Below are 16,602 nucleotides of genomic sequence, written 5' to 3'. Positions count from 1 at the left end.
GGCAGTGGGAAGATGGTTTAGAATTGATATTACTGCGGATGAGGTAGGCCATTTTCACGGAAGTAGCTTCCTTTCTTATTTCTTTCTTTCCTTATGTCCGTCCTTCCACATCATTGCCACAATTTGTGAAATAAAGGCTATTCCTGTCACCTTAATGATACCCAGCTAGACAAACTTGCCTCTTAGTATGGTTGGGTGTTGCCCACGCTCATACTTCTCATTTTATTCAAGGCCTAAATGTAGATGTTGCAAGTTTTTTTTTAGGGTTCATTTCATTAAGCTCATGGTTACACCTAGAATAGGTGTATACAATTTTTCTCTCTGTCTCTTTATGTATGTGTGAGTGTGTGTGTATATACACACATGTACATACACATATGTAACGTGTTTTTAATTAGTTCAGAGAGCGTAATTGCTTCATCTCACAAATGTATTGAGCAGCTATTTTCTAAAATAATAGCATTATTCAGAAATGTGTTTATACTCACCAACACACATCAGATTACGATTGCATGCTATAGCTTGGTGATGCAACTGTAAAATATCTAGGCAGAATAAAGAATGGGGATAAAGCAAACATAGAATTTGGAATTTCTATTTTTATGTGAGAAATACTTTCTGTTTCTGCTGCTCTAAAAAGTCTCTGATGATGGTTTGGAGATATAAAGAGTAACTGGGTCCACTCTTAAATGTTGCTTAAAGAGGCCTTGGCCTAGGAAACATATTCAGTATTTAGCTGAGAAATTTTAATTTAGTAAAATGTAATAAATTTATTCCAGAACTCAAACAGCACCAACTGAGTATCTAATATATGCATGGAACTGTTAGTAGGCTGTGGTAATTTTGCTAACTACAAGGAAATAAAGTCTTCCTCAAGGATAAAACATCTATATATAGTTGTGAGAAAATATCAAACGAAGCTCTGACTTTTGGAAAACATCAGTTACAGTGGTGCTCAGTACCTAATATGTACTTAGAAAGTGTTTTTTTGTTTGTTTGTTTCTTTGTTTGTTTGTTTGTTTTGGCTTTTTATCGGCTCTAATCTACTCTGTACCAAGGTGGTTGGTTTATTCTGTATGACTTATAGCCAGCAATCTGTACTTTGGCCCAAATTGTCCACTCTAATCAATCACTTCTGAAGATTCTCAAATCCTGACCTTTTCTTTTGTCTATAGTCTGTGGAGACTACATGAATCTAAACTTTCTATTTATTAAAGTTTTCCCTTCTCCTAGACACCAGCTTAGCTTGTCTGCTACTTCAGCCTAACCTACTAACTTCATCTTAATTTACTGAACCTATTACTCTTTGAAAGATAGTTCTGCTGTGCCTCTAACTTAAAAGTTGGAATTCCTAGAAAAAGTGGGTAAATTTCTGGACACATAGAACGTACCAAGATAGAGTCAGGAAGAAATAGAAAACCCGAATGGACCAATAATGAGCAACAAGATTGAAGCTGTAATAAAAAGGATCAGTTGGGTGTGCTGCCTCATACCTGTAATCCCAGCACTTTGGGAGGCTGAGGCAGGTGGATCACTTGAGCTCAGGAGTTTGAGACCAGCCTGGGCAACATGGTGAGACTCTGTCTCTACTAAAATTACAAAATAATAGCTGGGTATGGTAGTGCATGTCTGTGGCCCCAGGTACTTGGAAGGCTGAATTGGGAGGTTTAGTTGAGCCCAGGAGACAGAAGTTGCAGTGAGATTGCACCACTGCACACCAGCATGGGTGTCAGAGCAAGACCTGTCTCAAAAAAATTTTTTAAAGTCTCTCAGTGAAGAAAAGCCCAGGACCCAATGGCTTCATTGCTGAATTCTACCAAACATGTAAAGAATTAATATCAATCCTACTCAAACTATTAAAATTGAAGAGGAGAGAATGCTTCTGAATTCATTCCACAAGGCTTGCATTACCCTGATACCAAAACCAGATAAAAACAAAATGAAAAAAAGAAAACTACAGGCTAATATCATTTATGTATGTGGAAGCAAAAGTTTTCAACAACATACTAGCAAACCAAGTTCAACAGTGTATTAAAAAGATCATTCACCATGATGAAGTGGGATTCATCCCATAGATGCAAGGATAGTTCAACTTATGCAAATCAACAAATGTGATACATTACAGAATCATGGACAAAATCCATATGATCATTTTTAAAAGATGTGACAAACGTTCCGTAAAATTTAACATCCCTTCGTGCTAAAAACTCTCAACAAATTGAGTATAGAAGGAAAATGCCTCAAAGGCCATATATGACAAACTCACAGCTAATATACTGAGCTAATATACTGAAAAAAATTGAAAGCCATATGACTAAGATCTGAAATAAAACAAAAATACCTAATTTCACCACTTCTGTTCAACACTGTATTGTAATTCCTAGTCAGAGCAATTGGGCTAGAGAAAGAAAGAAAGGGCATCCAAATTAGAAAGGAAGAAGTCAAATTATCTGTTTGAAGACAACATAATCTTACATTTAGAAAAATCTACAGACCCCACCAAAAAAAAAAAACTGTAGAACCAATAAATTCAGTAAAGTTGCAGGATATAAAATCAACAAACAAAAATTAGTAGCATCTCTATAAATTAATAGTAATCAATCTGAAAAAGAAATCAAGAAAGGAGTCCCATTTACAATAGCTTCAAAAAAATGAAGTACCTAGGAACAAATTTAACCAAAATAGTTAAAGATCTTTATGAACAAAACTATATAACAATGAAGAAAGATATCAAAGAGGACCTACACACACAAACAAAAAGAAAGATATCCCATGCTCATGGGTTAAAAGAATTACTGTTAGAATGTCTATACTACCCAAAATAACCTAAAGAGTCAATGCATTCTCTATTAAAATACCAATAACATTCTTTACAGAAATAGAAAAAGATTCTAAAATGTGTATGGAATGACAAAAGACCTCAATAGCTAAAGCAATCCTGAGCAAAAAGAATAAATCTGGAGGAATCACAGTAATTGTCTTCAAATTATACTACAAAGATACAGTAATCAAAACATCGTGGTGCTGGCATAAAAACAGACATATAGACCAGTGGATCAGAACAGAGAATCCAGAAATACATCCACACACTTATAGCTAACTCATTTGCAACAAAGTTTCAAGATCATATATTAAAGGAAAGGCAGTCTCTTTAATAAATTTTAATAAATTATAAACATTTAATAAATAAAACTGGATATCCATATGCCCACGAATGAAACTAGATCCCCATCTTTCACTATATTAAAAAATCAACTCAAAATAGATTAAAGACTTAAATTTAAGCCCTGAGCTGTTAAACTACTAGAAAAAAGCATTGGGGAATTACTACAGGACATTTGCTGGACTAAGAGATTTTTTGGGTAACACCTCAAAAGTACAGGCAACAAAATCAAAAGTAGGCACATAGGATTACATCAAACTCAAAACAAGAGCATGACCAATATTGTGAAAGAATGAAATTGTTTGCTTACTCTTCTGCACACCAAAAGAAACAATCCTTTTTCACTCTTCTTTGCAGCAAAGGAAAAAATCAACAAAGTGAAGAAAGAATGTACAGAATGTGGGAGAATATTTGCAAACTATACATCTTACAAAGGATTAATACCCAGAATATATATGGAACTCAAGCAATAGCAAATAATAGCAATAATCTAATTTAAAATGGGCAAAAGACCTGAATGCACATTTCTCAAAATAAGGCATACAAATGGCCAAGAGGTATATAAAAAAATGCCAAACATCGTTAGTAATCAAGGAAATGCAAATCAAAATCCCATTGAGATACCATCTCACCCAATTTAGAATGGCTGTTGTCGAAAAGGCAAAGAAGTGACAAAAGTTAGCAAGGATGCCAGAAAATGAGAACACTCATACACTGTTGGTGGAAATGTAAATGAGTATAGCCCTTAAAGAAAACAGTATGGAGGTTTCTCAAAAAAAGTGAAAATACAACTACCATATGATTCAGTAATCCCACTGCCGGGTATTTATCCAAAAGAAAGGAAATCATTATGTCATACAGATATCTGCAGTCCCGTGTTTATTTTAACACTATTCACAGTCAACCTAAGTATCTGTCAATAGATGAATGGATGAAGTATTTGTAGTAGTCTTTGTGGTGTAGGGTTTTGTGTGTTTGCTGGGGCATATCTTCAACATTAAGACAGCCTGCAAGTTGGCCTTAGCCTTTATTTCCTGCTTGCGCAGGCCCTCAGGGTCAGCCAAAAGAGAGAGCTGAGCAATCTCTCAGGTGTTTTCTGGTCATGTGCATGGCTCTGCACATTTGTGTGGTCTTCAAGATCCTTAGGAATATGTCAGAGCTTCTCAAAACCATCTGTGGACAGCTCATTCCCTAAATCATACTGTTATATTATTATTATTTGTAATTATTGAGACAGGGTTTATGAAAGCCCTCATTCCACCACTCCAGAAGTCCCAGCTGTTGCATTTTTGTCTAACCTATGTAAATCACTCCTCAAGATGTCTGTGACTTCATTGCCTCCATATTTCTTATATATCAGAAATTGTGAATCTGAATTTCAACAAGTCAAGTGGGTGACACAAACGAGAAAACTGGGCCTTTGGTAAGGATCTAGGATGTGCTAGTGGGTACCATGGGCCCATTTTGGGGAATGTCGCCTCCTCAGGTCTAGCCCACTAGTCTCCATTTGGAAACAGGGACCAAATACTGCCAGATTTTACAATTTGTCAAAAGAAATCTAGATTTTTATAGAAAGAAAATGTGGGCAATTTTTCTGCATTGGTGAGGCAAAATAGCACACTCCCGTGGGCTGAGCTTCACCAGCAGGTCCTTGGTATTGTATCCCTTATTGAAAGTTGGTGATAATACATACTGGACATTGTCTCTGAATTTTTTTTTGTTTTCTATAGAAAATAGTAAGTCACATGATTTTCTTCATGATAGCTGTCTTCTTTTGTAATGTGAGGAAGCTCTGTTATAAGCCTCATAATAGCATTTTTGTTTCTAGCTCATTTTGAATAAGAAGCAATCTATCCTTCTGGAGCTTTCTGACAGGAGGCATGAATTGCTTCTAGATAACTTCCTCTTCCCCACTTCTGTCTCCAGTCTCTCAATACTATTTGGATGTGCGGTCCTGGGCAAGATTCTGTATGTCTTCATCAACCAAAATTTTACAGGATATAAATCTGGAAGGGGTTAGCAAATGGGAGAAGTTGATCTGATTCTGAAGAGGTCTTGAGTATGAGTTTTTTGTAGTTCTCTGCCATTTTCAGGCAAAGGTCTCCTTTTGGAAATATTCATTGTTCAACTGCAGCCATAACCAAGGCCCATCTCTGTTGCAAAATACAATTAGCAGGGAGGATCAGATTTTTCTTTCTTTCTTTTCTTTTTTTTTTTTTTGTTTTCAGCATTTAAACCATCTCAAACCTGACAGAAATGTTTTCTAGGCCCCTCTCATTTGCTCATTGTAGAGTATGAGAAACTTTGTGCTTTGTTTGCCTAACTCAAAAATGTGGCAATTTGCGCTGAAACTTTGTAAGTATTCTGTAAAGATAAACTGTCAATTTTTTTTTCATGCTAGGCAAAGTTACATGAGGTTATGTCTAGCCTACCTTGCCTATGGTAGGGAATCCTTGTGCATTAATCTTTTTTAATTGTTTTTCCTTCCTGTGGTCTGTACCATTGTTTTTTGTCAAACCTTCTCTAATGCTCTAATAAGGCATTATAAAATGGAAATTACTCCCAGTTCTTTTCTTCATCAGAAAGTTATGCTTTTCTCTCCAGAATGTATAGCTTTAATGCTAAAGTAATATTTCTCTCTGGCTGGCCCAGAATTAAACCCTAAGAAAATATATTGCCAGAAAGTTAAATATAGCTTGGCAGTGTGGCACAATATGCACCCATTCTAAAAGCAGATAGAAATTTATTTTTCAACTTAGTTCTTCTCTCCTAGTACTCACTGGCAAAGATCAGTTGGATGTTAATATCTATTGATTTTGAAATTGGTAGGAAAAGAGAAAATGAAATGTTCGAGGAATAAAAAAGCGAGTTTGAGGAACAAAAATATCTATTTAATTTGTGAACGGGATAATTATAGATTAGATAAAATATCTGCCTTTCTGAACATGAGAGGAGCTAGAAAATGTTCTAACTTCTGGAATTATAAATTGGGTATCTGAAAGATACAGACTGACAAAGAAATATCTTATTCTTCCAAATAAGCACTATTTTCTATGAGAAAACTCAATGTGTCAAGTGAGTAAGAAGACAAACCACAGACTGGGAGAAAATATTTGCAAATGGCACATTTGATAAAGAACTATTATCCAAAATATACAGAGAACTCTTAAAACTCAACAAGAAAAACACGAACAACCTCATTTTAAACTGCACAAAAGATCTGAACAGAAAACTCACCAAAGAAAATATACAGATGGTATATAAGCTTATTAAAATATGCACAACATCCTATATCATTAGGGAATTGCAAATTAAAACAACAGTGAGATACTACTACATGCCTATTAGGATGGCCAAAATCTGGAACTGACATCACCCAGTGCTAGTAAGAATGTGGAATAACAGGAACTCTCATTCATTGCTGCTAGGAATGCAAAATGATGCCTTGGAAGTACCTAACAGGAAAGCTCATTCATTGCTGGTAGGAATGTAAAGTGGTACTTTGGAAGACAGTTTGGCAGTCTCACAGTTTGGCAGTCTCTTAAAACAAAACTAGCTACGCTCTTAACGTACAATTCAGCCATTGTACTTCTTGATATATATCCAAAGGAGTTGAAAATTCCTACAAAAGTTTTGCACATGATTGTGTATAGCAGATTTGTTCATATTTGCCAAAACTTAGAAGCAACCAAGATGTCTCTTACTGGGTGAATTGATAAATAAACTGTGGCACATCCAGGCAATTGAATATTATTCAGTATTAAAAAGAAATGAGCTATCAAGGCATGGAAAGGCATAGAGTAATCTTAAATATATATTACTAAGTGAAAGAAGGCAATCCAAAAAGACTACATATTGTGTAATTCCAACTACATGACTTCTAGAAAAGGCAAAACTATGGCGACATTAAAAAGATCCAGGGTTTAAAGGGAGGGAGGAACGAATAGGCAGAGGACAGAAGATTTTTAGGGCAGCGAAACTAGTGTGTATGTTACTACTGTAGATACATGTCATTATAAATTTGTTCAAATCCATACAATGTACAACACCGAGAGTGAACCCTAATGTAAACAATGAACTTTGGGTGATAATGATGTCAGTATAGGCTCATCAGCTATAATGAATGTACCATTCTGGTGGGGGATATTGATAGTCATGAGGCTCTGGGAAGGGGATAGGTCGGAGGTATATGGAAACTCTGTACTTTCTGCTCAATTTTGCTGTGGACTTAAAACTCTTCTTAAAAGCCTATTAAAAAAAAGCTTGATATGTAGCACTAGGCCATGTTGTTATGTTAATTTTTTAAAGAAAATTATCAAGATTGCAAAAATTATCAAAAAACTTATTTGTATCTTTGTCCCAAATTGATCTGTGTTAAGGTTCAGTGAAAAGTAAAATAGTAAACATAGTTGAGCAAATGGGCAGGAATTATGAGTATATTCTGAATGGTAAAGATACAAATTTCTTCTCCCATGTGGTATTTGAAACGGTTCCTCTTTTCTTTCCATCTTTAAATGTGAAGGCATTCATCATTCTCTTTTATTTCTTCACATTTTCCATCCATGTATTTTTTTATAAAGGTAGTGGTGACAAGAACAAAAGCGTTAATCTATTGGTAGCCTGACGTGGGACAATTAATTAAAGCTTTAGGATCAATTTCTCAAACTTCACACTCAATGGTGGGTTCTCTATATCACTGATGTTTTCAAGGTTTAGACCTGCCTATTTAAAAGGTGTTTTAAAATATGTCCAGCTTCTGGTTATAATTCAGTGTTATCACAATGGGGAAATAATTCTAGATGAGGACATTAAAAAATCTCCTTTGAACACCTAATTTTATTCCTTTAGTTGATCAGAAGCCTGTTAGTAATTTTTTTAATAACTCAGAGGCAGCAGCATTGTATGAAGTTTACAAGACCCCTTACCTGGTTATTTTCTAAGTTAGAATTATACCAGCATGTTTCTTTCTGACCCTAAGATGAAGTACGTTTGCTACTTCTCTCAGACCTGCCCTATCTGTCACTCTGGTTATATTTGAGTCCTGGGGTCTAGGAAGTACATTCCTGATATATTCAGAGTCAGCCAGTCTGTAACAAAGGATGAGATCCTTTCCAAGGTCAAGTGTTTCGATTTCTTGATTTGTTTTCTTCTCCAGAATAAAGAGGATAAAATAGGCTTGAGGAAATTCTAGTCTCTAGGGTTTTACAAACTACCCAGCCTGGGAAGGAAGCATTATTTTTACAATGCTTCCAGACTGGATCACTTTTGCATGATTCAAAATAAGATATTTTTAGACACCTTTATAAAACTTAAACTCTGGTTACGAATTGTCTTCATGTTTATGGGAGGCTTTCTGCTCAATTGTAGTTGAAGTCTTGGTTGTATTTCTCTCATCTGTGATGCAGCTCCTCTGTAAGCGCAGAAGCCTACCGTGGTCAGCACTCAGATACTGGTGCTTTCATGAGAGATTTTTAGCCTCTCCCTGGAATGATACAAGATTTTGCAATTAGTAATGTTATGGCCAAAATCTGCTCATCAAAATAACTACACAAAATCTTGGGTAAATTACTTCCTTAGTATGTTGAGTATCTTTGTTCGTCTATGACTTGTTATATACAATTGCTGATGATCATCCATGGAATAGGTAAGAGCTAGAAAAATACATGGAAATGTTTACCTAGCTCACAAGAGGAAAATGTGGCCAAATGTTTACTAGTTACAAAGTAACTAGCAACTCAATCCTGCACCAGTATTTAAAACTGTTTATAAAATGTTTAAAATTTACAAATGTTTAAATAGAATCATCCAGGGACTAGAAGAGGGAGGAGGAATGTGAGGGGTTTTTTTGGTGAAAAAGACATATTCTTGTTAGTTCTTCACTCTATGAATAAACTACATTATTTTCAAGTATTTCATTTTTAGCATCTGAAATATCCTTTCACCCATGTCACCAAATCTTCTGGTATTTTGAACCAAACACTTTGAGTAACTTGAAGAAAAGTGATGTAGAAACATAAACTTAGCTCCTTTTCCAACTCTTAATATTTTTATCTTGGTTCCTGGTTAGATTCTTGCCCAAAGTGCCTAAAATCCAAGGAAATACCACCGGCCCCCTCCCCCAACATTCTGCTTAAATGTGTTTGCCATTGACCAATTTGTGTATGGTTGAGCCCACTCAGGGCAGTTGCTCCCCTTTCTTCCCCTTGTTTATATGTGTGCTGCTGAGTAGTAGAAATAAATGATGTAATTAAAATGAGGACCATATTATTTTAAATGCTCCTGAGTTAGAACATATATATCATATATTATTTCATTATGCTTGGCTTCATTGGAATTCATAGATATTGTATTTTTATGGATTGAAAAATGGTAGCAGCCCTATGCTGAACAAGTGTATTGGAGCCATTTTTCCAACAGCATGTGCTCACTTCACGTGTCTGGGTCACATTTTGGTAATTCTCGCAATATTTACAATGTTTCCATCATTATTATATTTGCTATGGTGATCTGTGATCAATGATCTTTGATGTAATGATTGTAATTTTGGAGGGATGCCACTAGCTTTGCCCTTATAAGATGACAGTGTTTAAAGGACAAATACATGTGTTCTGACTACTCTACCAACTGGCTATTCTCCTGTCTGTCTGTCTCTCTCTCTCTCTCCTCAAGCCTCCCTTTTACATGAAACAGAATAATATTGAAAGTAGGTCATGTAATAGTCCTACAATGGCCTCTAAGTGTTTAAGTAAAAGGAAGAGTCATATGTCTCTCACTTTAAATCAAAAGCTAGAAATGATTGTTTAGCAAGGAAGGCATGTAGAAAACCTAGACATATTATACCAAAGAGTTAATCAATGTGTAAATACAAAGGAAAATTCTTGAAAAAAATTAAATTGCTACCACACTGAACACCCAAATGATAAGAAAGCAGCAGCTTTATTGCTGAAGTAGAGAAATTTTGAGTGGTCTGGATAGAAGATCAAGCCAGCCACAATGTTTCCTTAAGCCAAGTTAAATTCAGAGAAAGCCCTAACTCTCTTTAATTCTATGAAGGCTGAGACAGGTGGGGAAGCTGAAGAAGAAAAGTGGGAATCTAGCAGAGATTGATTCATGAGACTTAAGGTAAGAAGCCATATACATAAAATAAAAGTGCAAGGTGATGCAGGAAGTTCTAATATAGAAGCTGTAGCAAGTTATGTAGAAGATCTAGCTAAAATTATTGATGAAGGTGGCCATGCTAAATAGTAGATTTTCACTGGAGAAGAAACAACCTTATATTGGAAGATGATCATCTAAGACTTTCACAGCTAGAAAGGGGAAGTCAATGCCTGACTTAGAAGCTTCAAAGGACAGGCTGACTCTCTTGTTAGTGTCTAATGCAGCTGATGACTTTAAGTTGAAGCCAATGCTCATTGACCAAAAATCCTAGCGCCCTTAAGAATAATGCTATATGGACTCTGCCTGTGCTTTATAAGTGGAACTACAAAGCCTAGATGACAACTCATCTGTTTATAGTATGGTTATTGAACATTTTAAGTCCACTGTTGAGACCTACTGCTCAGAGAAAGAGATTCCTTTCAAAATATTACTGTGCATTGACAATGCACCTGTTCACCCAAGAGCTCTGATGGAGGTGCACAAGGAGATTAATGTTGTTTTCATGGCTAATAACACAATATCCATTCTGCAGCCCATGGATCAAGGAGTAATTTTGATTTTCAAGTCTTATTATTTGAAAAACACATTTTGTAAGACTATAGTTGCCATAGATATAGAGAACAATTCCTTTAATGGAAATTAAAAACCTCCTGGAAAGGATTCATCATTCTAAATGACATTAAGAATATTCATAACTCATGGGAGGAGGTCAAAATAGCAACCTTAACAGGAGTGTGGAAGAAATGGATTCCAACCCCTTACTTTGAAGGGTTCAATGTAAAGTCACTAGCTGCATTATTTTCTAGCAACTTGAGTTAAGGAAGTAACTGCAGATGTGATAGAAATAGCAAGAGAACTAGAATTAAAAGTGGGTTCTGAAGACGTGATTGAATTGCTGCAATCTCATGGTAAAACTTGAACTGATGAACAGTTGTTTCTTATGCATGAAAATAGAAAACGGTTTCACGAGGTGGACTCCACTCTTGCTGAAGATACTGTGAACATTGTCAAAATGACAACAAAGGACTTAGAATATTACATAAGTTTAGTTAATAAAGCAAGGACAATTTTTAAGAGGACTCCAATTTTGAAAGAGGTTTTGTTGTGAGTAAATGCTATCAAACAGCATCACATGCTACAGAGAAATTTTTTTGTAAAAGGAAGAGTAACTGAAGATGCTGACTTTATTGTCTTACTTTACTAAATTGCCACAGCCATCCCAAACTTTAGCAAACATCACCCTGATTAGGCAGTAGCCATTGACACTGAGGCAAGGCCCTCTACCAGCAGAAAGATGATGACTCTTTGAAGGCTCAGATGATTGTTAGAATTTTTTAGCAACAAGGAATTTTTAAGTTGTGTGCATTTTTTGAGACATAATTCTATTGCACACTGAAAAGACTACAATATAAACATAACTTTTATATGCACTGGTAAACCAAAAATTATGGTATGACTTGCTTAATAGGGTATTTTGCATAACTGCCATAATCTGCAACTTACCTTCCAATATATCCAAGGTATGCCTGTATAAGAAAAATGTAATATATTTTTTTCAGTTTCTGAGCTCTGGATAGAGGCTTGTTGCTTCAAAAATGTTTGATTTGGATAATGCTAGGGAAAATTACATAGTACATTTCTTTTTAAAGTAGTACTGTTGTTCTCTCCCTTTTTGCTCCCACAGAATATCTCTGTGAATGCAATGGATTTCCTCATTTTCAGCCAACTTTTAAGAATAGAGGTCATTTGCATAACGCTGATGTGTAGTTGCAGTTTTTTCTCTTTGGAGGCACATAGAATTCTCATTCTTTGCACACTGCTTTCTTCTTCCTCTTCTCTCGTCATTCCCAAAGAAGATGGTCTTAATAATTTAGATCAGGGGAGTCTTCACAAGGTAGCCTCCAAAGAGCTGAGAATCGCTATGAAAGAGAACAGAGAGGAAGAAGTGGCTGAGTCTTTTTCTTTAAACTGGAGAAAATAACATCTTGGTGATTTGATGGTAACTCTCTCTCTCATTTATCTACCTAAAGACCCACTACAAGGATCTTTCACTGCCTTGGTCAGGATCTATCAAAGATCCACCTTTTCTTCACATTCAGATAAAAGCATATCACACCTGAAAAATTTGGCCCAGACATGGTTTGGCCATCATCTCTTCAAGAAAACATTTGTCAAACTTTCTAACCAGGCCCTCCTTTGGTCACCCTAGTCCCTGATACATACCTCTGACTTAGATAATATAGTGATATTGAAATGATCCGATATGTTTACTATCTCTGTATTCCCAGTCTGTATTAGTTTGTTCTCATGCTGCTATAAGGACATACCCAAGACTGGGTAATTTATAAAGGAAAGAGCTTTAATTGACTCACAGTTCTACAGGGCTAGGGAGGCCTCAGGCAACTTATAACCATGGTGGAAGGGGAAGCAAACGTGACCTTCTTCACATGGTGGCAGCAAGGAGAAGTGCAGAGCGAGGCTGGGGAAAAGCCCCTTATAAACCATCAGATCTTGCAGATCTTGTGAGCACTCACTCATTATCATGGGAACAGCATGTAGGTAACCGCCCACATGAGGGACCTCCCACCAGGTCCCTCACACAACACATTGGGATTCTGGGAACTACAATTTAAGATGAGATTTGAGCGGAGACACGGCAAAATTACATCGTGGTCCCTAGGATTTTGTGATCTTTAGGCACTGCAGAACTCCAGGGTAACCATTCACATTTGTAGTTATCTTAGATTTGTGTATTTTTCACAACACTTTTCAGGTGGGTGGCAGTAAAACAGCTTGAGGGAGGGGAGGTAATTTGTGTTTCTTAAAATGTCAGCATTAGGGCTGGTGACAGGGTTAATCTTCTTTATTGCTTTGTCCTTAGAGACAGTACAGAGCTTGGCAATGAAAATTAAATTCTAAAAAATGTTTGTAGGATAAATAGATGAATGAACATATTGTGCTCTCAATATGAGGTTTTCTTTTTTTTATTACTATACTTTAAGTTTTAGGGTACATGTGCACAACATGCAGGTTAGTTACATATGTATACATGTGCCATGTTGGTGTGCTGCACCCATTAACTCATCATTTATCATTAAGTATGTCTCCTAATGCTATCCCTCCCCCTCCTGCCACCCTGCAACAGGCCCCGGTGTGTGATGTTCCCCTTCCTGTGTCCATGTGTTCTCATTGTTCAGTTCCCACCTATGAGTGAGAACATGCAGTGTTTGGTATTTTGTCCTTGCAATAGTTTGCTGAGAATGATGGTTTCCAGCTTCATCCATGTCCCTACAAAGGACATGAACTCACCCTTTTTTATGGCTGCATAGTATTCCATGGTGTATATGTGCCACATTTTCTTAATCCAGTCTGTCATTGTTGGACATTTGGGTTGGTTCCAAGTCTTTGCTATTGTGAATAGTGCCGCAATAAACATAACGTGTGCATGTGTCTTTATAGCAGCATGTTTTATGATCCTTTGGGTATATACCCAGTAATGGGATTGCTGGGTCAAATGGTATTTCTAGTTCTAGATCCCTAAGGAATTGCCACATTGACTTCTACGATGGTTGAACTAGTTTACAGTTCCACCAACAGTGTAAAAGTGTTCTTATTTCTCCACATCCCTCCAGCACTTGTTTCCTGACTTTTTAATGATTGCCATTCTAACTGGTGTGAGATGGTATGTCATTGTGGTTTTGATTTGCATTTCTCTGATGGCCAGTGATGATGAGCATTTTTTCATGTGTCTTTTGGCTGCATAAATGTCTTCTTTTGAGAAGTGTCTGTTCATATCCTTCGCCCACTTGTTGATGGGGTCGTTTGTTTTTTTCTTGTAAATTTGTTGGAGTTCATTGTAGATTCCGGATATTTGCCCTTTGTCAGATGAGTAGATTGCAAAAATTTTCTCCCATTCTGTAGGTTGCCTGTTCACTGATGGCAGTTTGTTTTGCTGTGCAGAAGCTCTTTAGTTTAATTAGATCCCATTTGTCAATTTTGGCTTCTGTTGCCATTGCTTTTGGTGTTTTAGACATGAAGTCCTTGCCCGTGCCCATGTCCTGAATGGTATTGCCTAGGTTTTCTTCTAGGGTTTTTATGGTTTTAGATCTAACATTTAAGTCTTTGATCCATCTTGAATTAATTTTTGTATAAGGTGTAAGGAAGGGATCCAGTTTCAGCTTTCTACATATGGCTAGCCAGTTTTCCCAACACCATTTATTAAATAGTGAATCTTTTCCCCATTTCTTGTTTTTGTCAGCTTTGTGAAAGATCAGATGGTTGTAGATATGTGGCATTATTTCTGAGGCCTCTGCTCTGTTCCATTGGTCTATATCTCTGTTTTGGTACCAGTACCATGCTGTTTTGGTTACTGTAGCCTTGTAGTATAGTTTTAAGTCAGGTAGCTTGATGCCTCCAGCTTTGTTCTTTTGGCTTAGGATTGACTTGGCAATGTGGGCTCTTTTGTGGTTCCATATGAACTTTAAAGTAGAATGTGTGGTTTTCAAATCAAATGAAGGTATGCTTTTTTCTGTAGCATTCCAAATCCATCAAACATGTTCTCCTTCTGAATACTTATTTCTCCAAGTGGCTATAAGGGCACAGATCCATTTATAGTTTTCTGCACTTCTGAGTGTGGCTAATAATGTTACATCATCTCAAGCTTTGCCTTTTTTCTTCATATTTATCACATTCCCAGAGCAACAACCCATCTACAACAAACGCCATAACTTGAACTGGCTTCTGTTAAAAACTGATCCAGGTTGGCCTTGAGTTTCTGTCTTAAAATGCTTGGTTGTTAGAACATCAATTATGGTCCGCTTAGACCAATTAAAGCTAGTGCTGTTTTAATTAGTTTCAACAAGATTGATTAAGAGTTAACAACAGAAGCTTTGATGAAGTGAACTCATGGGCAGTATGTTGGCTGTGTTTCTAAAATGGTTCGTGAATTTGAGTATAAACCTACATTTGTTCAAAAGTTCTATCACCTTTTGTTGTACACCTATAAACAGTGGCATTTAATAAAATCAATGTGGTTAAAAATTACACATTAAATACTAAATAGGTGTGTGCATATGATTAGTATAAAAACTTTATTCATTAAAAAAAAATTTTAAGCAAATAAAAAGGTAAAATGACATACCCTGAAGTAATAACTATGCTATTTCTTGTTCTTGGAAAGATAATTATGTTTCATGACAATTTTTTTAAGTACAAAAAAACACATGGTTATTTATAATATAAAATGATAGAAAAAATGTATAAAGAATTAAATAAACTTCTGTTTGACCTCCTCAAGGTAATCCAGTGTGTACTTTGTACTACTAATTTTACTCATTTAAGCTTAAATGCAGATATAGGATTGTTTATAAAAAAAGATTTTTAATGTATATGTTTTTCTGCAGCTGCATTCTTCATTTATTCATATAAAATAGCCCTCTAGAGAGTGAATATACATCTAATTTGTTCTTTTTCTGTCTGCATTATATTCTGCAGAATAAATACATCATAATTTATGTAACCATTTACTTGTTATTGACTATTCAGATTGTTCACCACTATGAATAGTGATTCAATAAATATCCTTTCTTTATATGCTTACAGTTTTTAGCCTGTAAGAAGCTCTGAAGTTGAATATCTGGGAAAAACATACATCCCTGTTCACTGAGGATATGATCTTATATCTATAAAACCTAAAGACTCCACCAAAAAACTCTTAAATTTGATAAATGAATTCAGTAAAGTTTCAGGATACAAATCAATGTATAAAAATCAGTAGCATTTCCATAGACCAATAACAGTCTAGCTGAGAACGAAATCAGGGAGGCAATCTTATTTACAATAGCTACAAAAAATATCTAGGAATATATTTAACCAACAAGGTGAACATTGCCTACAAGGAAAACTGCAAAACACTGATGAAAGAAATTGAACAGGGCACAAATGTAAAAAAAAATCCCATGCCCATGGATTAGAAGAATTAATATCGTAAAAAGGATAATACTACCCAAAGCAATGTAAAGATTGAGTGCTATCTCTATTAAAATACTAATGTCATTTTTCACAGAATTAGAAACAACTATTCTAAAATTCATATGGAACCATAAAAGAACCCGATTAGCCAAAGGAATCCTAAGCAAAAAGAACAAAGCCAGAGGTATCACGTTAGCTGATGTCAAATTATACTAGAAAGCTGTAATAACCCAAACAGCATGGTACTGATATAAAAATAGACATAGAACAATGGAAGAATAGCAAACCCCAAAATAAATCCACCTATCTAC

At 35.8% G+C, this 16,602-nt stretch overlaps 2 long non-coding RNA genes across 2 annotated transcripts in view; one reads left to right on the top strand and one right to left on the bottom strand.

The window, feature by feature from the left end:
- The window catches only part of LOC101927078 (uncharacterized), a 325,996-nt gene that overhangs the window by 185,464 nt on the left and 123,930 nt on the right, over nucleotides 1–16,602 (top strand). The gene's annotated exons all lie outside the window — the stretch shown is intronic.
- Nucleotides 7,980–11,909, bottom strand: LINC01957 (long intergenic non-protein coding RNA 1957). The gene is made up of 2 exons (NR_134282.1): nucleotides 11,825–11,909; nucleotides 7,980–8,645 (listed from the first exon to the last, which is right to left on the bottom strand). It is a non-coding gene; the product is annotated as a long intergenic non-protein coding RNA 1957 (long non-coding RNA).

This window comes from Homo sapiens, chromosome 5 (genome assembly GCF_000001405.40).
Source record: "Homo sapiens chromosome 5, GRCh38.p14 Primary Assembly".
In the NCBI taxonomy this organism is placed as follows: Eukaryota; Metazoa; Chordata; class Mammalia; order Primates; family Hominidae; genus Homo; species Homo sapiens.
Note: the sequence above shows the minus strand (reverse complement) of the source record. Positions and strands in the feature narration are given on the sequence as shown.